This window comes from Homo sapiens, chromosome 9 (genome assembly GCF_000001405.40).
Source record: "Homo sapiens chromosome 9, GRCh38.p14 Primary Assembly".
NCBI classification, from domain to species: domain Eukaryota; kingdom Metazoa; phylum Chordata; class Mammalia; order Primates; family Hominidae; genus Homo; species Homo sapiens.
In genome coordinates, this window is record NC_000009.12 from 37529348 (window position 1) to 37555962 (window position 26615).

General features: G+C 46.2%; 1 protein-coding gene across 7 annotated transcripts in view, besides 2 other annotated features; it reads right to left on the bottom strand.

Moving 5' to 3' along the window:
• The window catches only part of FBXO10 (F-box protein 10), a 65489-nt gene that overhangs the window by 18456 nt on the left and 20418 nt on the right, over positions 1-26615 (bottom strand). For 6 of the 7 annotated variants that reach the window (NM_012166.3, XM_047423220.1, XM_047423219.1 and 3 more), the window contains 3 exons: positions 11837-12427; positions 7763-8596; positions 2562-2711 (listed from right to left, as the gene is read on the bottom strand). In NM_012166.3, the coding sequence (NP_036298.2) occupies positions 2562-2711; positions 7763-8596; positions 11837-12421 (1569 nt within the window). In that variant the 5' untranslated portion in view covers positions 12422-12427. Of the gene's footprint in view, positions 1-2561; positions 2712-7762; positions 8597-11836; positions 12428-13564; positions 14516-26615 lie in introns of those variants that run through there. The other variant, XM_047423221.1, reaches the window with a different exon arrangement.
• Positions 94-143: an enhancer, noted in NCBI's record as "active region_28396". NCBI's record gives its function as "activates an Ori minimal core promoter by ATAC-STARR-seq in GM12878 lymphoblastoid cells {active_cell/tissue: GM12878}" and the evidence as "EXISTENCE:reporter gene assay evidence [ECO:0000049][PMID:35858748]".
• Positions 2518-2577: a silencer, noted in NCBI's record as "silent region_19907". NCBI's record gives its function as "represses an Ori minimal core promoter by ATAC-STARR-seq in GM12878 lymphoblastoid cells {active_cell/tissue: GM12878}" and the evidence as "EXISTENCE:reporter gene assay evidence [ECO:0000049][PMID:35858748]".

Sequence of the window (26615 nt, forward strand, 5' to 3'; positions counted from 1 at the left end):
GGATGAACACAGTGGAGAAAATGACGTCACTGTAAGAGCCCTAGCCCGTGACAAAGGGAATGGGTCACACTGCCGCCCTGCCCTTCCTGCACCAGTACACACATGAAAACCTGTAAGGGAGACTATGAAGACTGGAGTCTTCGCTGCCCAGCCTCTTAGGAGGGCTCTTGGTCTTCACCTGCAAGGCAGGCTACTGAAAGTTTCAGAGCCTCTAATGAGTCCCCTAAACACATAATCATTTGGCCAGGCCATAACTTCTAGGGTCCAGGGAGGCCATCTCTTGAGGAAAGGCAGCACCCCAGTGCAACCAAATGTTGGCCAACTGCAGTCCTAAAGGGGCCACATCCAGAGAGGGGTCACAGTTGTTTGACTTCTAGTCCTTTCTCATTTAGGGAGGGCCAGCGGAAGATGCAGACACTGGGGGGCCAAGCTGTCCCATGGGGCATAAGGTCTTAGAAGGTGTATGAGCTACAGAATGCCAAGAGATATCTTTTTTTTTTTTTTTTGGTAGAGACAGGGTTTTGCTTCATTGCCCAGGCTGGTCTTGAACTCCTGGCCTCCAGTGATCCTCCCATCTTGGCCTCCCAAAGTGCTGGGATTACAGGTGTGAGCCACCACACCCGGCAAGATATTCATTTCTAATATCTCTTTGTGCGAATGGGAAAACAGGCCCACGATTATATAGTACATTTGTGGAAAAGCCAGATCTGAAATCTAGTTTTTCTCTTTCCCATTCCAGTTAGTTGCTTTTGCACAGTGACTTAATATTTTTAGATTAGAATAATAATAAAATTATCTCACTCTAAGTTAATTTATAGCTGAAGTCCAATTCTATACTTTGTAAATTGGGAAGTTAGCTGTATCTCTTCCAAAATGATTTCGCAGAAATAAAGTTCTAGTTGGCTTTAAAGTGTTTCGTGTGCAAACTCTCCTTATTCTTACTCTTTCCAGATTTTTCCTGAAGGATTTGGCAGGCTCATCAGAGCAACCACTGCCTAAGAGAAGTCCCGCACAGGGCTGAAGAGCTCCAAAAGGAGTATGCAGCAGCATTTCCATCCCTACACCCTTTCACAACGCCAGGACTAAAATATACCACTCCCTTCCCCCTCCACCTGCTATCCCTCTGTCCTCAGAAGGGCAAACCCCTCATCTCTCTAGCCAGAGGGGCAATAATTTCCTAAGCCAAAGCCATGCATCAACCACCAGCTGCATGGTAGAAACACAGTGAGGGGAAGGGGTTGGCAGGAGACACTGGCTAGCTGTGTGTATTTTCTTTTTCTTTTTTTGAGACAGGGTCTCGCTCTGTTGCCCAGGCTGGAGTGCAGTGGCACAATCATGGCTCATGACCATGCCATAGTTATGGCAGCCATGACCTCCCAGACTCAAGTGATCCTCCCACCTCCCACCTCCGCCTCCCAAGTATCTGGGACGACAGGTGTGAGCTACCATGCCCAGCTAATTTTTATAATTTTTTGTAGAGACAGGGTCTTGCTATGTTGCCCAGGCTGGTCTTAAACTCCTGGACTCAAGTGATCTTCCTGCCTTGGCCTCCCAAAGTGCTGAGATTACAGGCATAAGCCACTGTGCCCAGCCTTCTCTCTGTATCTTTATGGGCAGTTAAGATATGATGGGTTCAGCATTACCCGTGAGTCAGACTGCCTGGATTCAAATCCCAGCTCTGTCACTAGGTGTAGGACTTTGGGCAGGATCCTCTGCCTCTTCAGGCTCTATATCTTTACTATAAAATAGGGATGATAATAATTCTTCACAGGGTTCTGTAAGCATTAAATGACAAGTAAATATCTATGAAGTGCTTAAAAAAGCATCTGGCGTATAATAAGCATTATGTATTAATGGTGGCTATTATTTTTTCAAGCCCATAAAAAGTCTGTTATATTTCCCAACTCCTAGGAAATCTGTCTCTCAGTATACATGTAACAAAATTCCTCCCATACCCCATAAATCTGTGTAAAAACAAAATAAAAAACCCCCAAACCCCAAACCTGCTTCTCAGGAAGAGCCAGAGCAGAAAAGGAGCTGGTCTCTCGTGTCACTGGCCACACAGTCTAGGATTTTAAGTGGTTTTCACACGGGTAGAAAATCAAACTCAATATGCCCTCACAATAACCACGAAACAATCTTCAGAACTAAATACCCGAAATGTCCTCTTACACAAGTGAATAAACTAACTTGGTGGGTTCGCTGCTGTTGTTTTTGTTTGTTGTTGGATCCAAGTGTCTTTAGGGCAGACATCACTCTCTTTAACCTTATCAAACTCAAAGCCAACCACAGCATATGAGGGCTGAGGGCCCTGTGAGGTTTCCCTGTCTTTCTGGTCCTCCTCCTTATTAACGGGGAGATGACCAGAAAATGACTTGTCCAAAGTCACTGCTAATACACAGACAGAGACACAGAGTCACAAGGACACGCAGAGGACAGAGCAGGAGCCACCTGCAAACAGGAAGCACGTAAATACAAGAGGGCAACGTGTATTTAAATATCCTCACAAATGGTTTCTGAAAACCAAGAGTCACCCTGAATAGGGAACGAACACAAAGTACCAGTATGAGTGGGTTGGACTTTTTCCGGATGTCTACACCAGCCTCTGCATTGTGGTAAATGTTGTTGCCGGCAATCAAGCCACCGCCCTCCAAGCGAAGAAAGATGCCTGACGCTCGGCAGCGGTAAATGTCGTTCCTGAGCATGATGATCTAAGCAGAAAAGAGAAAGCCATTTATTTTCCTGTTACAAATATTTTTTTAGAAACCACTGGAGGAACACCTGAGTCTTTTCCGCACCACCTGATCCATGCAGTTTACCCCGTAGGCAAGAGAAACGCCTCAATGCTGGCACAGCCACGCTCCCACTGTGTGCTCCCAGGACACAGCCATCTCCAGGCCCTACCTGGCTTTGCCCTGCAGGCTCCTTAGCGGTCTCACATTGGTTCTTTTTTTTTTTTTTTTTTTTTTTTGAGACAGGGTCTTGCTCTGTTGCCCAGGCTGGAGTGCAGTGGCATGATCTCGGCTTACTGCAAGCTCCGCCTCCCAGGCTCACGTGATCCTCCCACCTCAGCCTCCCAAATAGCTGGGGCTACAGGCTAATTTTTGAATTTTTGTTTATTTTTATTTTTACTATGGATGTGGGCTGGAGTAATTTTGTTGTTAACTTTTCTATTTTTTGTAGAGATGGAATCTCACTATGTTGCCCAGGCTGGTCTGGAACTCTTGGGCTCAAGCAATCCTCCCACCTTGGCCTCCCAAACTGCTGGCATTACAGGCATGAACCACTACACCTGGCCCACACTGGTCCTTTAACTAAAACCTGGACCAAAGCTTGGCCCTGTGCTCTATATTCAGAACCTGCAAGCAGCATAGCTGGATGATGGGATAGAAAGGACGCTTAGGGGAAGATGGGACTGAGTGGTCTTCAAACTTTACATGCACTAAGTTTGCATGAAGATTTCCCCAGGGGTCGAGGGTGCAGCTACTTTTAATGAAATAAAGTTCCAGGTCCACCACTTCCAATGCACCTTCACTAAAATCCACCTGTCTGAGACGGCACGGACAGTAAGGTACCACACAGGTTCTCCTCTCCCACCTTCCCTTCCACTTTATAAAACAAAGGCCTGTTCTTGCACATCCTAAATCTTTCATGGTGTATCACCCTGGGGTGGAAAACTACTGAGACTCCAAATGAAGGGATGATTAGAGATATTGGTATAACAAAGCCTCCTTCAAACAAGTTCCCATAACCAGCAACCTGCTAATAAAGGGATATATTTCCAATTACATTTTCTTTTTATGTTTAATAAGTACAGTTGTCTCCCCCATGTCTGTGGGTTCTGCATCCATGGATTCAACCAACTGTGGATTGAATATACATTATTAAAAATAATAAATAATAAAATTGAAAAACAGGCCAGGTGTGGTGGCTCACGTCTGTAATCTCAGCACTTTGGGAGGCCGAGGTGGGCGGATCACTTGAGGTCAGGAGTTTGAGACCAGCCTGGCCAACACGGTGAAGCCTCGTTTCTACTAAAAATACAAAAACTAGCCAGGCATGGTGGCAGATGCCTGTAGTCCCAGCTACTCAGGAGGCTAAGGCAGGAGAATCTCTTGAATCAGGGAGGCAGAGGTTGCAGTGAGCCGAGATTGTGCCACTGTATTCCAGCCTGGGCGACAGAGTGAGACCTTATCTCAAAAATAAAATAAAATTGAATTAAAAAAAACAACAACAGTATAGGCTGGACGTGTTGGCTCATGCCTGTAATCCCAGCACTTTGGGAGGCTGAGGCGGGCGGATCACCTGAGGTCAGGAGTTTGAGACCAGCCTGGCCAACATGGTGAAACCCCATCTCTACTAAAAATACAACAAATTAGCTGGGCGTGGTGGCTCATGCCTGTAGTTTCAGCTACTTGGGAGGCTGGGGCAGGAGAATCGCTTGAACCCAGGAGGCAGAGGTTGCAGTGAGCTGAGATCACATCTTTGCACTCCAGCCTGGGCTAAACAGTGGAGACTCCGTCTCAAAAAAAAAAAAACAAAAAAAACACAACCAACAAACAAAAAAACCCAGTAGAAGAGCTATTTACATAGCATTTGCATCGTATTGGGTATTATAAGTAATCTAGAGATGACTGAAGTGTGGGAGGATGTGTGCAGGTTAGGTGCAAATACTATAACATTTTATATAAGGGATTTGAGCATCTGTGGATTTTAGTATCCTGGAACCAAGCCCCCACGGATACCAAAGCATGATAATATATAAAAAATCTGGAATGTTTATCTATGCTGTCTTAAACAATTATAGATTAATAATAAAATATATTATTATAAATTGTGTACTACTAATAATATATTGCATTAGGACAAAATTCTGTGAAGACTAAAGTAGAACAAGAGTATAAATGGTAAGGTTTCAGCTTCTGCTTAGGATGGAGAAAGTAGAAAGAATATACACAAACATGGACTTTCTGGTGGAACCCATCAGAGCTGAGGCTGCTGGACAACCGGCTAGCCTGAATGCTACAAAAAGACAGGTGCCTTTCGGAGCGTGCAGTGAGCCCAGATCGTGCCACTGCAGTCCGGCCTGGGTGAAAGAGTGAGACTCCGTCTCAAAAAAAGAAAGACAGGCGCCTCCAAGGAGACGAGGCCTGAGCACTTCCCTGCTGAATGCAGGGCTGCATGTGTCATACAAGCCAGTAAGAACTCAGCTAACATTTTCAATGCACTGTTAAAGACCAGCTGTGAATTAGTGTGAGTGCAGAAACTCTGGGAGTAGCTGCACCTGTTCACTTCTCTGTGGCCTTCACTAGGTGTTCATGGAGAAAACTGGGGGCAGATGAGAGACTGGAGACAGCACCCTCCTGACGCAGGCTGGGGACAAAAGTGAGAGAGGCATTAAGCCCCTCTCCTGTGTTCTTTCCCCCTAACTCTCTTACAAAACAAACCGTATGCACAGAGAAACAGCGGGAAAACACTCTTATCTCTGGGGGTGTTGGGAGGAAAGTGACTTAGGCCCAGATCATCAGAGGTCCCCTAGTGCTGGGGGTAGAGCCAGGGTCACTGAAAAAGTCCTGCTCTCAAGACCACAGACACAGCACCTACCTAGACTAAGGATGACCCAGGACAAGAGAGAAACCCTGCCATCACGTAGGGTGACAAATAATGGCAGTCTACTGCTGAGGGAGGGCGAGAGCAGCGGAGATCGCCTCTGAGCAGCAGGCACAAAGGAAGATCTGAAGCGGAGAAAACTAGCACGAGGTAATGCTGGAGAGAGCTGAAGCCTACGGGACGCTGAGGATAATCCTATCATCACCATAATTCAAACGGGCTCAGCTCCTAACTAGATCGACCTCCTAAGAGCCAGGCAAAAGAAGAGGTGTGCCCATTTCCAAACTAAATACTACAGAGCTCAGTCCCCACTGTCCTACATGAGATATCTGACTTCCAACTAAAATTTATGACACATAAAGAAGAAAATCACAGTCGGTGACACTTCTTTTTTTTTATTTTTTTTTTGGAGACGGAGTCTTGCTCTGTCACCCAGGCTGGAATGCAGTGGCGCAATCTTGGCTTTCACTTGCAACCTCCACCTCCCGGGTTCAAGCAATTCTCCTGCCTCAGCCTCCCGAGTAGCTGGGACTACAAGTGCCCGCTGCCATGCCTGGCTATTTTTTTTTTATTTTATTTTAGTAGAGACGGGGTTTCACCGTGTTGCCCAGGCTGGTCTCGAACTCCTGAGCTCAGGCAATCTGCCCGCCTCAGCCTCCCAAAGTGCTAGGATTACAGGCTTGAGCCACAGCACCCGGCTGACACTTTTCTTCTTGGAGCCTCAAGCAACCAGGCTCCTCCTGCCAGCCTTTACCCTCCTGGGATGTTCTAGAGGACAGAGCCAGGTGACAGCCTTCTGTGGGGGAGCAAGGATCAAGGCCTTGCTTGAAAGGGTGAAAGGGTGTGTCTCCCCTTACTTCTGGGCCTTCACACACACCTCCTTTGCCTCGCGTCTTCACCCTGCCGACTTAAGGGGCAGAGCCAGACTTTAACTAGAAAGCCATATTCTCAATAACTATGCAAGGAAGAATGCCCTCCTTGAGGGCTTGAGCCAGATCCTTTCATCGTGGTAGTCACGACAGCAAAGCTATTACCTTTCCCTTTTTATTTGGCCATTTTCTTTTATGTATGTGTACAGGAGTCTTGCATTATGCTTTCAAAGTAACATCACCTGAAATCCTCTTTGGAAGTGGGCTGGGTAAAACACAATTAAATTTAAATTAATTAAAATGTGATTGCTATTAACCATTTTAGAAGCCTGCAACACTCATGAGTGACCTTTGTACAATGTTCTTTAGTTTACTGAATACTTCCGGCATGGGACCTTCCAATAGCCAGTGAGAGAAGAAAAATAGGGATGCTTATTTTCATTTTACGAAAGTGAAGGTCATGTTCATAGTGAGTTAGTGGAGAGGTGAGACTCGAATCTAGGTGCTATGCCATGCTTTCTTCTGCATGGGCTGTCTTTCCCTTCAGAAGGCCTTCCTGTCATCAACCATTTACAGGATTTGCAGATTGTCCTGTGGTGCCCTAAGTCCCAGCACATAGAAGGTGTTGATTGTCGCAGTGGCTAGAAGGACTGTTCTTAGCATAAGGCCCAAATGTCTCAAGGGGGATTCCAGGTCTGGGTAAGGTAGCTTTTGCTCACCCCCAGCTTCATCCTTCAACCTAGCCCCACCGCATGGTTGAATTCAACCTCACACCCAGGCTCTGGCGTAGGATGTTTCTGCTGTTGGGACACCCTCACTCTCCACCCCTTCTTATCACGTGTCCAATTTTCCCTGGACCTTCTTCTCATTGTACCCAGCACAGACGTTTCCTCAACAACCCTACTCCAGTTTGGAGTGAAGGTAGTAATCATATCTCCCTGAATTTTCTCTTATCCAGGCTTTGTTTCTCCTACTCCGACATGGTGAGATATGTGAGCAGCAGCATGACATAGTGAAAAGAGGCAGGAGACCCGAGTTTCTAGTCTCAATTCTGCCTAACTTGCTATGTGACCCTGAGTAAGCCACGTTCTCTCTCTGGGCCTCTCTTTCTGGGAAATGAGAAAAAGCGTTTCTGTCCTTTCCAAATCAGATGATGGGCATGACGTCAAGCGTGCGTGAATAAGTTTAAAGAAAATTATTTTTAAAATGCAAAATAGCCCCATCAAACCCTTCCTACATATAGCCACAGGAGCCCCCTGACCAATCTAAAGTCATGACAGCACCTTGCTATTATGTATACACCGCACTGCGTAAGTCAGGTTCCGGAAGATGTTTCCTTCCATCTTGGCTCTGCCGTGGGAGCAGACGAAGACGCCTCCCTTCCCGTCCCGGAAGAGGCACTTGCGGATGAGGCAGCCCTGCACGGAGTTGGCCAGTGCCATGGCCTCCTTATCCTTCTGCAGCTCCTGCTGCAGTGAGTTCAGCACTAGGCAGCTGGGCAGCTGAATGGATGCTCCTGGTAGAGGTGGGCCCAGAAATGAGCCCCCCAATACAGGGCGTGGGCCCTGCACTTGGTAGGATAGTCTGTACATCAGCTGGTCCTCATCTTCATCCTCACCGCTGGGACTCAGGCCTCCATCGCTGCTGTCCGGGGTCTGGGCCACCCTTTCACCATCACTACCCACCTCTGCCTCCTGTGAGCCAGCCTTGGAGCCTGGCTTTGGGGAGCTAGAGGCTGGGCTGGTAGGGCTCTGGCTGCCCTCGATAACAATGTCACAGGTCTTTGGGCTCCAGGCCTGGTCCCGGCTCTCTAGGTCCAGGGACATTAAAAAGTCAGAGTCCTCTGTGGGGAGAAAAGTGGGTGAGGACTTGATAAGCCCTAGTAGATACTTGTAGGCCCAGTTCTTATCTGCAGATGGGTGACCCTCAACAGTCACAGAGTTGTTTTCACTGCCCACAAATTCACAGTTTTCCAGGACACACAGGGGCACGTTGTGCAGGAAGATATGGGTGTTTTTGAAGGTACAGAACTTCACTTGGCAAGTACCCGGGCCATGGACCTGGATGTGCCCGTTCTCAAAGTTGCAGTTGTCAAACTGGACGTGACCTGATGTTGTCTGGGGAATGAAAAGAAGAAAACGGCTGTAAGAGGGATGAGATTGGTTTTGGACTCTAGCTGCCCTTTAAGGAGGGTAGAACATGGAAAGGCCATTTGTTCTGCTGATCATCTTCCCCTCCCCACTGGGGTCTGGATGTCAGCTGTCCCCAAAAGGAACTGGGGAGCTGCTCTGCATCAGAGAGGGAGGGAAACTGGAGCTGCCCGCACCTCCATCCTTCTAATCTCAAAGGAAGGGAGACAAGTAGATGATGGCAGAAAAGTTCACACTGCAGCATGACTCCTCCTAAAACCTCAAGTCTCAATCACGTGCCAGGGCTAGGACAGGCAGTGAGAGAGGCCTAGCCGCATGTGCTGGCAAAGAGTTCTGACTGTGTGGCAACTGATGCACGTGGTGCACAGCAAAATATGTCTCTAAAGAGAGGGGACAAGGTATACTGCCATTGCCAGGAAGCATTGAACAGTGGTTAAAAGCATGGGCTCTGCCAGGTGTGGTGGCTCACGCCCGTAGTTCCAGCACGTTGGAAGGCCAAGATGGGCAGATCACTTGAGGTCAGGAGTTCGAGACCAGCCTTGTCAACATGGTGAAACCTCATCTCCACTAAAAATACAAAAATTAGCTGGGCGTGGTGGTGTGCGCCTGTAGTCCCAGCTACTTGGGAGGCTGAGGAATGAGAATAGCTTGAGCCTGGGAGGCAGAGGTTGCAGTGAGCCGAGATTGCGCCAGTACACTCCAGCCTGGGCGAAAGAGCAAGACTCGGTGTCCAAAAAAAAAAAAAAAAAGCATGGGCTCCGGGGGTTGACTGCAAGTGTTATCTTGGACAAATGACTTCACCTCTTTAAGCCTCAGTTTCCTTGTCTGCAGCATGGGGCTCACTAGTTCACAAAGCACCATGCTAGGCACAAACTTAGCACTCAATAAAAGTCAGTTATTATCATCTGGGGTCAGGGACACAAGGAGCAGAGTGTCCTCAAGAGTCTGGAGTGGGGATGGGGCAGTGCCAAACTCTCCTGCCTAATTCATTTGGGCCCCTTGGCTCTGTGGGCCCAACTGAGAAGCAGTCTTGGTGAGGCCCACTCACTCTCTATTCCTGAAAAAGAGCTGTTTCTGGATTTTATACATATTTCATCAGATGTATTTGAATCATCAAATGAGGGAGTATCTCATGATTCCATTTAATAATCCAGACGTACCTACCCCTTGAATAAGTTTTAAAATTGACCTTTGATAGATTGTCCCAGAATTTAAGCCCCCTTAACTTTTCTAATTTCTTCCTTATGGCTAACCTAATTTTTCCTTGCTATTTAAATCCATTTTCTCTCTAAAGATAAAAAAGCCAGCTCTCTGGAGATGCAGAGCCACTGCTAAGGTTCTCCTTAGAAGTCACTGAAAACTGCTGTGAAATCGCCTTGGCCTTTGCATTTTTCAGGCAAAGCCATCCCAGGCCCCCATGTCTCCTTTAGTTGAAAAACAATCATGGACTGAACACTAACTAATATATGTTATATGCTAAGCACTAAGCCACAGGGCAGGCTACAAACAAGTCTAACGCCAGGCCTCATCCCTTGAGGATCTATGACTATACTTCTGAGGGAGAAGTAGAGGCTGAAATCAAAATATTACTCTAAGAATAAATGTATTACAAAATGTGAAGGGTCTGGAACATTATTTCTTTCTAGAAACAAACTCTCCTTCTGGGCCTGCAGACCAGCACCAGAGAAGTTCATCAGTTCTTCTGAAATGCTCTAGGGCTAAAACACAAGCTTTTAAGCTTTCAGGTAACATAGCATGATGTAATTTTATAAGCATTTAGATGAGAAGGCCTGAATTTGAGATCTAACTTCCCTAATTACCCACTTGAGAAAGTTACTTACCAACTGTGACCTTCAGTAGCCCTCATTTGCAAAATAGGCATACCACATCTACTTCACCTACACAAATGTTTGCTGTGGGGGTCCAATGAGGTCACAGATGGAAAGTCACCTAGATTATGAATAGACTTTGGATCTTACTAAGTCTGAGACCTTGATGTCACTTAATCTTGCTGAGCCTCAGTTTTCTCATCTATAAAATCAGATGACATTACCTATCTCAGAGGCATGTGGAGAGGAACCCATGAGATAATGGCTATAAGGCATATGGCATGCACACACTACATCTGTCACAAATGACCAGTGGTATAAGGATCATTACAAACATGAGAGACAATTGTTATTGGCAATATACTTTTAAAAATCATATATATATGATTTTTTTTTTTTGAGACAAAGTCTCACTCTTGTCCTCCAGGCTGGAGTGCGATGGCACCATCTCAGCTCACTGCAACCTCCGCCTCCCGGGTTCAAGCGATTCTTTTGCCTCAGCCTCCCGAGTAGCTGGGATTACAGGCACCTGCCACCATGCCCCGCTGATTTTGTATTTTTAGTAGAGACAGGTTTCACCATGTTGGTCTCGAACTCCTGACCTCAGGTGATCCACCTGCCTCGGCCTCCCAAAGTGCTGGGATTACAGGTGTGAGCCACTGCACCTGGCCAAAAATCTTTTATTTTTTATGAGCAGGCAGGAAAGCGATATAATTTTTATTGACTACCTACATAATCCAAGTTTCTAGGCAATGTATAAGCTATAGACTGTTCTGCCAGGAACTACCAACACCTGGATACCTGCTTTACTTTGAACCATCTTCTGGCTCTGCATTCACGGAAGGAATATGTTGGACAAATATTTTCTAACCTTCTCACCATTGCCCTTGAGAACTAGCAAATCATGGTAAAAGCCTGCCCTTCCTTGATCCCACACAGGGTGGGGTTCATGTGCTGAAGGTGACTAGTCCTGTATAGCCTTTTTCCTCTGTGGCTCTCACTCTGGGCATGCCTCCATGAGCAGCTAATGGGCTCTCTGCTTCCTGTCACCAAGTGGCATGCTTCCAGAACCTGGCTTTCCCGCCGCTGCTAGACTGGTGGCTCCAGTTGGTCCAGTTGGAAAGGGAAGAGGTGCAAAAGAATTTTGGTTCCAAGCCCAAGCCATTTTTAAATACTGCTTTACCAAGAATAAAGCAGAATTCTGAACTCTACTGATCACTGTGCCTGTTTCTCAACTGGTTCAGCACTCAGAGGAGTATGAGTATAATAATAACTCTTAACTTTCAATTCCAACAAAAAAAGGGATTAAAAGCCCAGAAAAGAGGGCAAGCCTCTGGGGTCAGAACTAGAAAGGCCGTCTATTGATGTGGATACCCACCTTATACATGATGGGTGAGAACCAGGCTGGCGTGAAGACGAGGTTGCACAGGCGTGTGGTTGAGCAGTGCTGATCAATGCTGGCCAGCAGGGCCACTTCACCCAACTTCCCCTGCCCTACAATCTCCACAGGCACCTTCAAGATGATTTCACCTTGCTCTTCGTACACACCTGGGAAGAGCACAATTCGGTCATACAGGCTGGCCATGGCCAAGGCACTGCCCAGGCTGTCAAACTCACGGCCTGGCCCAACACTCAGGGTACGTCGTTCCCTCCTCCGGCGGAATAGAGAAAAGCAGATGGAAGACTCCAAGTCCAAGGCATTCTTGGTCCATGTCTTGGATGCAAGGTAATGCTGCTTGAAGGCTTCTCTCCAAGACTCAGGCTCCACATCTGGCTGGTTGGGCCAATTGGGATGGCGGCACTCGGTGCAACCCAGACACAGCTGCCGCCAGCGGGTGCTGTCGAGACTGAGGATCAGTTCATACCAGGCCCTGCATACCAGGCTGCAGCGGCCCAGGTCGGGAAGGTGCAAGTAGGCTAAGATCATGCGCCACAGCTCCAAGGGGAGGCCACCAGCCTCCATGGTCACCTAGGAGACAGACACAAAACAAAAGAGATTTCTGTCTATCCTACTTACCAGTCCCCCTTTTTTATTTTTTTGAGATGGAGTTTCACTCTTCTTGCCCAGGCTGGAGTGCAGTGGTGCGATCTTGGCCTCACCATAACCTCCACCTCCCAGATTCAAGCAATTCTCCTGCCTCAGCCTCCCAAGTAGCTGGGGTTACAGGCATGCACTACCACAACTAGCTAATTTTGTATTTTTAGTAGAGACCAGGTTTCTCCATGTTGGTCAGGCTGGTCTCAAATTCCCGACCTCAGGTGATCTGCCCGGCTTGGCCTCCCAAAGTGCTGGGATTACAGGCGTGAGCCACCACACCCGGCCTCCAGTCCCTTTCTTAAAATACCCCCTGCCATCTCCTGAGCCCAAGGGTGAGCAAATAAACAAGGCTCAGCCAGTCAGAGGACTCCATCCTTTCAATGTGAATCCTACTCTAGATTTTTCCACCAGGAATTAGCAAGGAAGACTCTCTTTTCTCTATGGTCAGATGTTATAAAGATATGACTCCAGGCCGGGCGCAATGGCTCAGGCCTGTAATCCCAGCACTTTGAGAGGCTGAGACAGGTGGATCACCTGAGGTTGGGAGTTCAAGACCAGCCTGACCAACATGGAGAAACCCTGTCTCTATGAAAAATACAAAATTAGCCGGGCATGGTGGTGCATGCCTGTAATCCCAGCTACTTGGGAGTCTGAGGCAGGAGAATCGCTTGAACCCAGGGAGGCAGGGATTGCAGTGAGCCCAGATCGTGCCATTGCGCTCCAGCATGGGCAACAAGAGCGAATCTCCATCTCAAAAAAAAAAAAAAAAGGATACGACTCCGGAACTGCCAGGTTCACCACCATGTGGAGGAAACCTTCTGGTATAAGAGCCAAACAGAAAGATGACCTTTAAAAAGAGGAAGAAAACAAGGTGAGCACATGTGTGTGTGTATCCTGATAGTACTGATTCCAGATTCTTAAAGATGTCTTGGAATCTACAGTTCTTCCTTCAATTTTGTAGGATATCCCAATGGCCTTCTACTAAATCCCCCTTTTGCTCAAGCTAGTTTGATTTGGGCTTCTGTGACTTGCAACTAGAAGAGTCTGGACTTCTAAGAGGGAACCCACCTTTGGCTGTTAGGGTCCTAGAGCTCTGGATCCCCTACACTCTCAAGGAAGAGACCTCTATCTCTTTACACTATTAGGAATGAGAACTGAGGCAGTGACTGTCCATCTGTCTGTCTCTGCTTGTTCCCAGATCAAGTAATTACTGTTTCCCCACGTGGGGCAGCCCCAGGACAGACTACTGCTGAGTCAGATGCTGTGGGTTTTGGTCCTGGCTCTGCCATTGGTTATCCTGAGCAGTTAATTGGTTATTCTGAACACCTATGGGCTGGCTGCCCAGCCATCTACCTACTTGCTTTTTCTGGAAAATCTTCTTCTCCCCTACCAGTGATTTATATCACATGATTATAGAGGTAAGGTTCCCAGCAGATGTATATGTAGAACAAAGGATCCCCGACCTCTTGACTGCAACTGATTGGACTCTGGATGGTTCTAAAGGGGCCATCGAGCCCTTTTCCAGGAGAACAGGAGTTGCAATTCTAGAATCAGGATGGCCTTATTCCTGAATGGTGGGGAATGAGTGGCCCCTTTTCTAAGCTATAAACTCAGGAATAGCCTCTGGTGATCATTTTCCCCAGGCTGGGGCATAGGAGGAGACAAGACAGAAGAAGCTGATCTACATTGAGAAAAGAATAAATTAGAGACACAGAAAAAAGCAGAGAAAAGGGCAGAAGCAAGGGGCATCCAGTTTCTCTATAGCACTGCAGGTCATAGCTCTAGTCTATTCTCAAAGCTCAGCTTTATCCTTGCCCTTTGAATGCCATCAGATATCCCTGATGATGTAAGCTGGCTTCATTTACTTGTTTTTATACCTAGTTCAAGGTCTCTCATTTATGAGTGTCAATTTTCCCACTTAAAAAACAAAGGGCCAAGTAGATGACCTAGAGCAACTTCCAAGTCTGAAACCCAAGTCTCTAGACAACTAGAAAGTAGGACTATGGCCGGACATGGTGGCTCACGCCTGTAATCCCAGCACTTTGGGAGGCCAAGGTGGGTGGATTACTTGAGGTCAGGAGTTCCAGACCAGCCTGGCCAACATGGTGAAACTTTGCCTCTACTAAAAAATACAAAAATTTGGCTGGCTGCAGTGGCTCGTGCCTGTAATCCCAGCACTTTGGGATGCCGAGGCAGGTGGATCACTTGAGGTCAGGAGTTCAAGACCAGCCTGGCTAATACAGTGAAACCCTGCCTCTACTAAAAATACAAAAAAATTAGCCGGGTTTGGGGGCGTGCGCCTGTAGTTCCAGCAACTCAGGAGGCTGAGACAGGAGAATTGCTTGAACCTGGGAGGTGGAGGTTGCAGTGAGCCGAGATCGTGCCACTATACTCCAGCCTGGGCAACAGAGCGGGACTCTGTCTCAAAACAAAACAAAAATTAGCCAGGTGTGGTGGTGGGCACCTGTAATCTCAGCTACTCAGGAGGCTGAGGCAGGAGAATCATTTGGACCTGGGAGGCAGAGGTTGCAGTGAGCCAAGATTGCTTCACTGCACTCCAGCCTAGGTGACAGAGTGAGACCCTATCTCATAAATAAATAAAGTAGGACTAGAAACAACTGACCTTCATCAAATTGTTGACCTCTCTAGAGCCTTGGGTATCCTCTCAATTTTATGAAAATGCTAATCATACTTGTCAGTTATCTAAGCCCCAAGAAGGCTAGGAGCACAAATGTCTGATTATGTCTGGAAGAAATGCTGAGCTTCCTCAAGACTGGCGTGGCTTTAATTCTGCAGATTTGTACTGGAGCCCAGATGAGTAGGTTCTTCTCTAATGATCACCAGCGAGACTTTACTAAGAGAGAAAAGCGGCCGGGCGCGGTGGCTCACGCCTGTAATCCCAGCACTTTGGGAGGCCGAGGTGGGCGGATCACGAGGTCAGGAGATCGAGACCATCCTGGCTAACATGGTGAAACCCCGTCTCTACTAAAAATACAAAAAATTAGCCGGGCGTGGTGGCGGGTGCCTGTAGTCCCAGCTACTCGGGAGGCTGAGGCAGGAGAATGGCGTGAACCCGGGAGGTGGAGCTTGCAGTGAGCGGAGATCGCGCCACTGCACTCCAGCCTGGGCGACAGAGCGAGACTCTCTCAAAAAAAAAAAAAAAAAAAAAGAGAGAGAAAAGCTGGGCTCTGGACTGTTAAGCATAATAGGGGAAAGGCTGGGCTCCTGACATCTGCCACTCCCCAAGATGGACACCAGTTTATTTATGGCGGCTTCTATGACACTGATGTTTCCTGTTCTTCGTTTATTTCTTTAGTTATACATTCTCAGGCTTTTTTTTTTTTTTTTTTTGAGACAGAGTCTCACTCTACCACCCAGACTGGAGTGCAGTGGTGCGATCTCGGCTCACTGCAACCTCTGCCTCTCAGGTTCAAGTGATTCTCCTGCCTCAGCCTCCTGAGTAGCTGGGATTACAGGCGCACACCGCCATGCCCAGCTAACTTTTTTGTATTTTTAGTAGAGACGGGGTTTCACCATGTTGGTCAGGCTGGTGTCGAACTCCTAACCTTGTGATCTGCCCATCTTGGCCTCCCAAAGTCCTGGGATTACAGGCGTGAGCCATCGAGCCTGGCCTCTCAGGCTTTTTAAGAGAAAATTGTTCTTCTACTCATTCTCTATCCATTTTGTAGCTGAGCAATCACATCCATTCCCTTGGCTTCAACTACCACTGGAAATGCATGACTACAAAATCCAAATGTCTAGCCCCAATCATCTTTCTAGCTCCACACGTGAATACCCAATTCTCTTTTGGGCATTTCTACCTGGATGTTCCATAGATAACAAAAACTCAACATCATGTCCAAAATGGAACTCTGACTTCCACTTCAGGCCATGACAGAATAACGGAAACTGGATATTCCCTTCCTGCCATAAACAACTATAAAGCTGGACAAAATATATGAGGCAAGTGAATATGTGTTTTCAGGCACTGAGCAGCAAGCTGCTCAAGACTGTGATTTTTGGCCGGGTGCGGTGGCTCACACCTGTAATCCCAGCACTTTGGGAGGCGGAGGTGGGTGGATCACTTGAAGTCGGGAGTTCAAGAACAGCCTCACCAACATGGTGAAACCCCATCTCTGCTAAAAATACAAAATTAGCCAGGCATGGTGGTGCACACTTGTAATCCCAGCTACTTGGGAGGCTGAGGCAGGAGAATCGCTTGAACCCGGGAGGCAGAGGTTTTAGTGAGCTGAGATCACACCACTGCACTCCAGCCAGAACAAGAGCAAAACTCCATCTAAAAAAAAAAAAGACTGTGATTTTTGAAAGAAAGGAAACATAGGAGGTGAGTGCCAAGAACATCCTGGCATTCATTCTGAGGCACTTTCTTACTATGGTGTAAGAAGATGGTGCCCAAGCAGAGTGGCAGTCCCACCAAGCAGGCAGATTTGAGTTCTGTGCTGCTGAAGAGGCTGGCATTTGTGAGGCAAGGTACCAGAATAAAGTGAATAGCACAGAGGGGGTGGGGAGGAGGGGCAGTTCCTAGGCTGAAGGCTGGGCTGCACATGTACAGGGCAAGACTTCATCAGATGTAGTAGGGATCACCTGCTATGAAAATTTATTCTAATTTTCCACTTAACTTCTGTGTTTAATTTTGTTCATTCACTCATCCGACAGACATCTATTAAGCCTTATTATGTAACAGGTCCTAAGAGAAAATATTAATAAATCGGTATTAAGACATGGTCTCTGTGCTCAAGTTGCTGATAGTTTAATAAGAGGGGAGAAGACATAGTGAAACACAAAACAAAGTTGGCAAAAGACCTTCACTAGTAGGTTGAAAAATCATGGAGTAACTCCTAGAGATGTCTTTTTTTTTTTTTTTGGATGCAGTGGCCATGATCTTTGCTCACTGCAGCCTCTGCCTCCCAGGTTCAAGCAATTCTCGTGCCTCAGCCTCTCGAGTAGCTGGGACTGCAGGCGTGCGCCACCACGCCTGGCTAATTTTTGTATTTTTAGTAGAGATGGGGTTTCACCATATTAGCCAGGCTGGTCTCAAACTTCTGACCTCAAGTGATCCGCCTGCCTTGGCCTCCCAAAGTGCTGGGATTACAGGCATGAGCCACCGCACCTGGCCTTAGAATCACTTTAGAAAAGTGTTTCAGTTTCTTCTACAGTTAAATGCATACCTATCCTATGACCCAGGAATTCCACTCCTAGTTATTTATACAAGATAAATGAAAATAGGTGTTTACAAAAAGACTTACACAAGAATGTTTACAGCAGCTGTATTCATAATAGTAAAACAAACAAACAAACTGGAAACAACCCAAACATCCATCAACAGAAGTGTGGATAAACAAGTTCTGGTGTATTTGTACAATAGAGTACTATTCAGCAATACAAAGGGATAAACCATTGATGTAGACAAGAACATGTATGAACCTCAAAAATAATATGCTGGGGCTGGGCGCAGTGGCAGACGCCTATAATCCCAGCACTTTGGGAGGTCCAGGTAGGTGGACTGCTTGAGCTCAGGAGTTTGAGACCAGCTTAGGCAACATACTGAGACTCCATCTCTGAAAACAAAACAAAACAAAAAAACAAAAAACAAAAAATTAGCTGAGTGTGGTGACGCACAACTGTAGTCCCAGCTACTAGGGTGGTTGAGGTAGGAGGATCACTTAAGCCCAGGAAATCAAAGCTGCAGTGAAACATGATCGCATCACTGCACTCAAGCTTGGGTGACAGAGCAAGACTCTTATCTCAAAAAACAAAACAAAACAAAAAAGACAAAACTAGTCTATGGTGATAAAAATCAAAACAGTGCTTAGGCCAGGCACAGTGGCTCACACCTGTAATGCCAGCACTTTGGGAAGCTGAGGTGGGAGGACAGCTTGAGTCCAGTTCGAGATCAGCCTGGACAACATAGCAAGACCCCGTCTCTACAAAAAAGTTAAAAAATGTTGCCAGGCATGGTGGTGTGCACCTGTAGTCCAAGCTACTCGGGAGGCTGAGGTGGGAGAATCCCTTGAGTCTAGGAGTTTGAGGTTACAATAAGCTGATGGTGTCACTGCACTCCAGCCTGGGTGACAGCAAAACCCTGTCTCAAAAAACAAACACAATACAACGGTGCTTGCCAGCAAGGTGGAGATTAACTGGAAGGGGTTACGAGGGAACTTTAGGGTGAAGGAAATGTTTTATATCTTGACTGGTGTGTTAGTTATATGGGTGCATACATCTAAAAACCCTCACCAGAGGTTGGGCACAGTGGCTTATGCCTGTAATCCCAGTGCTTTGGGAGGCCAGGGCGGGTGGATCACCTGAGGTCATGAGTTTGAGACCAGCCTGGCCAACGTGGTGAAACCCCACCTCTACTAAAAATACAAAAATTATCTGGGCATGGTGGTGTGCACCTGTAATCCCAGTTACTCAGGAGGCTGAGGCAGGAGAATCACTTGAACCCGGGAGGCGGAGGTTGCAGTGAGCTGAGATTGTGCCACTGCACTCCAGCCTGGGCAACACAGCGAGACTCCATCTCAAAAAATAAAAAATAAAAAAATAGAAACCTCCCTGGATTGTATGCTTCAGCTCTGTGCATATCATTGCATGTAAACATCATCTCCATTTTTAAAATAGTATTTATTATCATCTCTCCCCATTCTTGCTCCACCACCTGTACTGTATTCCTTGGTTAATAACACCATCATTTTCCACCTAGCTGCCCAAGTCAGAACTAGAGAAACCTCCTTGATTTCTTTTCTCCCTCCTTCCCTCCCTCTCTACCCCAGATACTCTCTGAAGTCCTGTGTTTCTGCCTCCTTAAGCAATCTCTCCTATGATTACTTTCTTCACTATCCTCCCTGTCCCTGCATTACTTCTTTGGTTTGGATTACTATGACAGATCCTTTTTTTTTTCTTTTGAGACGGAGTCTCCCTCTGTTGCCCAGGCTGAAGTGCAGTGGCGCCATCTCGGCTCACTGCAACCTCTTCCTCCTGGGTTCAAGCGATTCTCCTGCCTCTGCCTCCCAGGTAGCTGGGACTACAGGCGCCCGCCACCACGCCCTGCTCATTTTTTGTAATTTTAGTACAGACGGGGTTTCACCGTATTAGCTAGGATGGTCTCAATCTCCTGACCTCATGATCCACCCGCCTCGGCCTCCCAAAGTGCTGGGGTTATAGGTGTGAGCCACCGCACCTGGGGATCTTTCTAAAATACACCTCTGATCTTGTCAATTGTTGGCTTAAAATTCCTCAGTGGTTCCCCATGGAGTCCTGGGTCAAGCCTAGTACAGAAGATCAGTTGTGAGCTTGTCTTTTTCTCTAGCCTCATCTCTGACATTCATCCCAACCTACCCTCACCCTCCCAATAATAACCTTTCAGAGGACCTTTCCTTATCCTCTCCCCTCAGAAATTAAGTGCCTCCCCTGGGCTCCCACAGCACCCAGAGAACAGCTCTAGCCAACATTTTAAACATGTGAAACAAAACACAGAGCACACAAAGCAAATGTGTAGTTTAGAGAATCATTTTACAAGGCAAGTATCCTGTTCACCACCACCTGGATCAAACACAAAACCTTGCAAGCCCCCTAAAAGCCTCTCTGTGTCCCCCATTCCAACGCTTCCTCAAAAAGTAAGTTCAGTCTTGATTTGTGTAGAAATCACATCTGAGCATTTCTTTATGGTTTTATCACCTCAGTACACATCCTTAGAGGCCATAGTTTTTAGTTTTGTCCTTAAGTTTTTGGCTTGATAGGTCTTTTGATTCTCATTTCATCTGCTGGTTCCCCTCTATCTTTTCTTTACAATTTATTTGTTGAAAACCCTGACTCATCTGACCAGAGTTTCTCATGGTCTCAATTTTGCTGACTGCATGCATTACTTGAAGGAGAGCTCACTTGTTCCTGTCACCTGCACTTCCTGCATGCTGGCACTGGATCCAGAGGCTTGCTCAAACCCAGGTTCAACCCCTTTAGCAATACTACAAGTGGCATTGTACCTTTTTATTAGGAGCCACATTTCTGGTTGTCTCTTTTTTGATGTTAGTAGCCAGTGGTGCTCAATGCCTCTATCCAGCAATTCACTGGTGGTAACGAAATGTTAATACTCTTAATTCACCAAAGAACACTAAAAACAGTACAAAACAAAACAAAAACCAAGCCCAATCAAAACTCATTTGGCTTTGATAAGCTGAAATAATTTTATAAGAAGATTTTATAATTCTATTCATCCACTATTTGGTTATCCAGTGGCACAGTACATATAGGAAGAGCCAGCTTAATGCTTTCATTTTATTTCTCAGTTTTCTTTTTTTGTCGTCTCAGGTTTTTTTTTTTTTTTTTTTTTTTTTTTTTTTGAGATAGAGTCTTGCTCTGTTGCTCAGGCTGGAGTGTAGTGGCATGATCTTGGCTCACTGCAACCTCCACCTCCCAGGTTCAAGTGATTGTTCCGCCTCAGCCTCCTGAGTAGCTGGTATTACAGGCACCCGCCACAATGCCCAGCTAATTTTTGTATTTTTAGTAGGGAGATGGGGTTTCATCGTGTTGGCCAGGCTGGTCTCAAACTCCTGACCTCAAGTGATCGGCCCGCCTCAGCCTCCTAAAGTGCTGGGATTACAGGCATGAGCCACTGCACCTGGCCTTTTTTTTTTTTTTGAGACAGAGTCTCACTCTGTTGCCCAGGCTGGAGTGCAGTGGCGCAATCTTGGCTCACTGTAACCTCAGCCTCCCAGGTTCAAGCGATTCTCTGCCTCAGCCTCCCAAGTTGCTGGGACTACAGGCCTGCACCACACACCTGGCTAATTTTTGTAGTTTTTGTAGAGATGGGGTTTACCCATGTTGGCCAGGCTGGTCTTGAACTCCTGGCCTCAAGTGATCCACCTACCTCGGCCTCTCAAAGTGCTGCGATTATAGGCACCACACCCAGCCTATTTCTCAGTTCTCAAGATAATGAATGGGTTCCCTGTTGTTCTCTGAAGGTGACTGGCTCTCAAAATTCATGTTCTTCTCACATGCAAAGTGCATCCATCCCAATAGCCCCAAAAAGTCTTAACTTGTTCCAGCATCAGTTTTAAAGTCTAAGTCCACAGTCTCATCTAAACCAGATATGGATGACAGTCAAGGCATGATTCATCCTGAGGCAAATTCCCCTCCAGCTGTGAGCCTATAAAATCAAACAAGCTATGTGCTTCCAAAATACAGTGGTGGGATAGCACAGGACAGACATTCCCATTGCAAGAGAGAAACAGACAAGAAGAAAAAAGTCACTGGCCTGAAGTATGTCCAGAACAGAGCAAACAACACTAAATCTTAAGGCTGGACAATAATCTTCTTCGACTCCATGTCCAACTTTCTGGACACAACGTGTTGGGGGCTGGGTCTCCAAGGCCCTGGAAAGCCCTGCCTCCACAGCATTGCTGGACATAGCCCACACAGCTCTGAAGGGTTGCAGTCAATACCTGTGGCTTTCCCAGGCTGGTGCTGTGTGCTGGTGGCTCTACAGGTCTGGAGTCTTGGGGGCAGCCCTGCTTCCAAGACTCCACTAGGTAATGCCCAAATAGGGGCTCCCTGCAGCATCCTTTGAAATCTAGGTAGAGGCACACAAGCCTCCACAGCTCTTGTACTCTGCAAGTCTACAGTTAGCCCCACGGGGATAGCACCAAGGTAGACTGCTTGTGCCCTGGGTTCTGTAGCCCAGCCACACCTGGGCCTGCTTGAGCCACAGGTGGGGTGACCAGGGAACAGAGGCCTGAAGCATCCCTGAGCAATGAGCTCCAAGGTTCCAAGAGTGCCCCGGGCCTGGCCCTTTAAGCTGGTTTGCCCTCATAGCACTAGCATTGAAGTGACGGCACAAGCAGCCTTGAAAATCAAATGGTCACTTGGCCACACCCTTGGTTTTCTCTTCTAAACCATTTAAAAAATTCTTTACATAACCAGAACTGAGAGTTTTTCAAATCTTTGTGTTCTGCTTCCCTTTTAATTATAAATTGTCTTTAAATCCTTCTTTCTTTTCCCATTTTACTATAAGCAGTTAGAAGCAGCCATGCAACATCGTGAATGCTCTGCTGCTTAGAGATTTCTTCTGCCAAATCACCTAGCTTTTCTAGCTTTCTCTCCTTTCTGCCTTCTACAGAGTCCTAGGACACAGACATTGATTCAGCCAAGTTCTTTGCCACTTTATAAGAAAGATAACCTTTCTTCCAATTTCCAATACCTTGTTCCTCATTTCTGTCTGAGACCTCATCAGACTAGCCTTCACTGTTGCAACTACTCAAGCAATCTGTAAGAAGAACAAGGCTTCTCCTATATCCCTTCTTTCCCCAGGCCCTGGCCAGAACCACCCTTAATGTGGCATTCATGTCAATGAAGGATTTTCCAGCATTTGCTTCAAAACTGTTCCAGCCTCTATGCATTATCCGTTTCCAAGTTGCTTCTACATTTTTAGGTATTTGTTATAGCAACACCCCACTCCTCCAGTACCAATTTATGTCTTAGTCTGTTTAGTGCAACCATGTCGGAATTCTTGAATCTGACTAATCTGTAAAGAACAGACACTTATGGCTGGGCGAGGTGGCTCACGCTTGTAATCCCAGCACTTTGGGAGGCCGAGGCAGGAGGATCACGAGGTCAGGAGATCGAGACCATCCTGGCTGACACGGTGAAACCCCGTCTCTACTGAAAACACACACACGCACAAAAATTAGCCGGGCATGGTGGTGGGCGCCTGTAGTCCCAGCTACTCGGGAGGCTGAGGCAAGAGACCGGCAGGAACCCAGGAGGCAGAGCTGGCAGTGAGCCGAGATTGCGCCACTGCACTCCAGTCTGTGTGACAGAGCGAGACTCCATATCAAAAAAAAAAAAAAAAAAAAAGAACAGACATTTATTTTTCACAGTTCTGGAGCCTGGGAAGTCCAAGATCAAGGTGCTGGCACCTGGTGAGGACGTCCTTGCTCTGTTCTTAGATGGTGGAAGGTAGAAAAGCAAGAGGGATGAAAATATGTGTCTGCACACTGCAGAAGGATGGCAAATGCATCCCCACAAACCCTTCCATTCATAAGGAAGAGCCCTTATGACCTTTTACCTCCCAACACTGTTGCATTGGGGATTAGGTTTCCAATACATACATTTTGGGGGGGACATATTCAGACCACAGCAGTGACCAATTCAGGTTGTGTGTGTGTGTGTGTGTGTGTGTGTGTGTGTGTGTGTATTTTTTTTGAGATGGAGTCTCGCTCTGTCACCAGGCTGGAGTGTAGTGGTGCAATCTCAGCTCACTGCAACCTCTGCCTCCTGGCTTCAAGCAATTCTCCTGCCTCAGCCTCCCGAGTAGCTGGGACTACAGGCACGCGCCACCATGCCCAGCTAATTTTTGTATTTTTAGTAGAGACAGGGTTTCACCATGTTGGCCAGATGGTCTCGATCTCTTGACCTCATGATCCACCTGCCTCAGCCTCCCAAAGTGCTGGGATTACAGGCGTGAGCCACCGCGCCCGGCCACATGTATGTTTTTAAATTGTTATGAAGTCATGGACTGACACGTATTTTATGGGTTTCAAGTCTTTGAAATCCCTACTTTTATTAAAGTTCAAATTAAGCTATCTTTGGCCCCACATTGGTTCCTCAGTCCTCCTGGCACAACCCCTGTACCCTCTGATAGCTTCCTTGCTATGTGGTATGGCTAGATAGCATAACAGCTTCTTTCTTTAAGAAGTTGTCTTTAAAAAATGTTCATTGAGAAAATTGTAGATTCACATGCAGTTATAAGAAATAATAGAGATCCTGGCCAGGCACGGTGGCTCATGCCTGGAATCCCAGCACTTTGGGAGGCCGAGGCGGGCAGATCACCAGAGGTCGGGAGTTCGAGACCAGCCTGACCAACATGGAGAAACCCCGTCTCTACTAAAAATACAAAAAAAAAAAAAATTAGCCAGGCGTGGTGGCACATGCCTGTAATCCCAGCTACTTAGGGAGGCTGAGGCAGGAGAATCGCTTGAACCTGGGAGGCAGAGGTTGCGGTGAGCCGAGATCATGGCATTGCACTCCAGCCCGGGCAAAAAGAGCGAAAGTCTGCCTCAAAAAAAAAAAAAAAAAAAAAAAGAAAGAAAGAAAGAATAGAGATCCTTTGCTTGGTTTACCCCAATGGTAACATTTTGCAAAACTATAGTATAATATCCCACTAGCATGGTGACATTGATATAGTCCAAGGTCTAATTTAGATTTCTCCAGTTTTACTTGTACTCACTTGTGTATGTGTATTAAGTTCTATACAATTTTATCACCTGTGTAACTTTGTGTATCTATGACCAGTAAAGACGGTGAACAGTTCCAACACCATATGGATCCCTTGTGTTGCCCTTTTGTAACTATACACGTCTCAATTCTCCCTCCTCTCTCCTGTCCCTAACCACTGGCAACCATTAATCTGTCCTCCAGTTCTAAAACTGTATCATGTCAAAAATGTTATATAAGTGGAATTATACAGTGTGTCACCTATTGAGACTGGCTTTTTTTCATTCAGTGTAATTCGATGGAGGCTCATCCTACTTGTGGTGTGCATCAATAGTTTGTTTATGATGCTGAGGACTATTTCGTGCTATGGATGTACCATATCCAGTAGTGTGTATTTGCAGAATTGACAGATGCATTCATATGTGCAATACAACCCCCTACCAAGAAATGGAATACTCCAGAAAGTTCTCTCATGACTCTTCCATCAAGTTCCACCCCCGACCCCAAGAGGCAACCACTGTTTTCTTTTCTCTTATCTCCTCAAATTCCTACTATCATGATTTTCTACTACAGATTAGTTTTGTCTGTTCTAGAATTGCATATAAATGGGATCATGCAGTATGTATTCTTCTGTGTAAGGCTTCTTTCATTCAGCATAATATTTTGAGATTCATTCATTTCATTGCATGTAGTTTACTTTTTAACTGCTCAGTAGTATTTCATTGTATTAAGTGTTAATATATCACAGTTTAAAAAAAATTAATTCTCCTCGATGGAAACCTGAATTACTTTCAGTTTGGGGCTATTATGGATAATGCTGCTGTGAATATTCTTATATAAGTGTTTTTGTGGACACGTTTTAATTTTTCTTGAGTCAATACTTAGGAGTGGAATTCCTAGGTTCTTTTCCCAGAGAGGCTATACTATTTTACACGCCTACCAAGAAAGAATAAGAAACACAGTTGCTCCACATTTGTTGTGGTGTTTTTGTTTGTTTTTTGCAGGGTCACACTTTGTCACCCAGGCTGGAGTGCTGTGGTGTGATCACAGTTCATTGCAACCTCGAATTCCCAGGCTCAAGTGATCCTGCTGCCTCGGCCTCCCAAAGTGCTGGGACTATAGGAGTAAACCACCATGCCCAGGCTGTTGCTGGTTTTTAAAATTTTATCATTCTGGTGGGTATGTAATGGTATATCATTTTGGTTTTAATTTGCATTTTCTTCATAATACACGATGTTGAGATTTTTTGCATGTGATCATTGGCCATTCATATATCTCCTTTTTGAAGTACTTGTTCAAATCTTTTGTCTTTTTTTTTTCAGACGGAGTTTTGCTCTTGTCATCCTGGCTGAAGCCCAGTGGTGCAATCTCGGCTCACCGCAACCTCCAACCTCCACCTCCCAGGTTCAAGCGATTCTCCTGCCTCAGCCTCCCGAGTAGCTGGGATTACAGGCGCTCGCCACCATGCCCAGCTAATTTTTGTATTTTTAGTAGAGATGGGATTTCATCATGTTGGCCAGGCTGGTCTCAAACTCCTGACCACAGGTGATCCACCCACCTTGGCCTCCCAAAGCACTGGGATTACAGGCGTGAGCCACTGCGCCTGGTCCTTTTGTCTGTTTTTAATTGTTTTTTTTAATATATATTTAATTATAGGACTTCTTTATATGTCCTTTGCCAGATACATGTTCTTTGAATATTTTCTCCCAATCTGTGGTTTGCCTTTTCATTGTCTTAATGGAATCTTTTGATGAGAAGTTTTTAATTTTGATGAAGTCTAACTTACCATTTCTTTCTTTTTATGATTATTTTCTTCTATCTGTCTGAGAAAGCTTTGTTAATTCCTAAGTCATGGATATAATCTCTTGTCTAAAAGCTTTGTGGTTTTGAC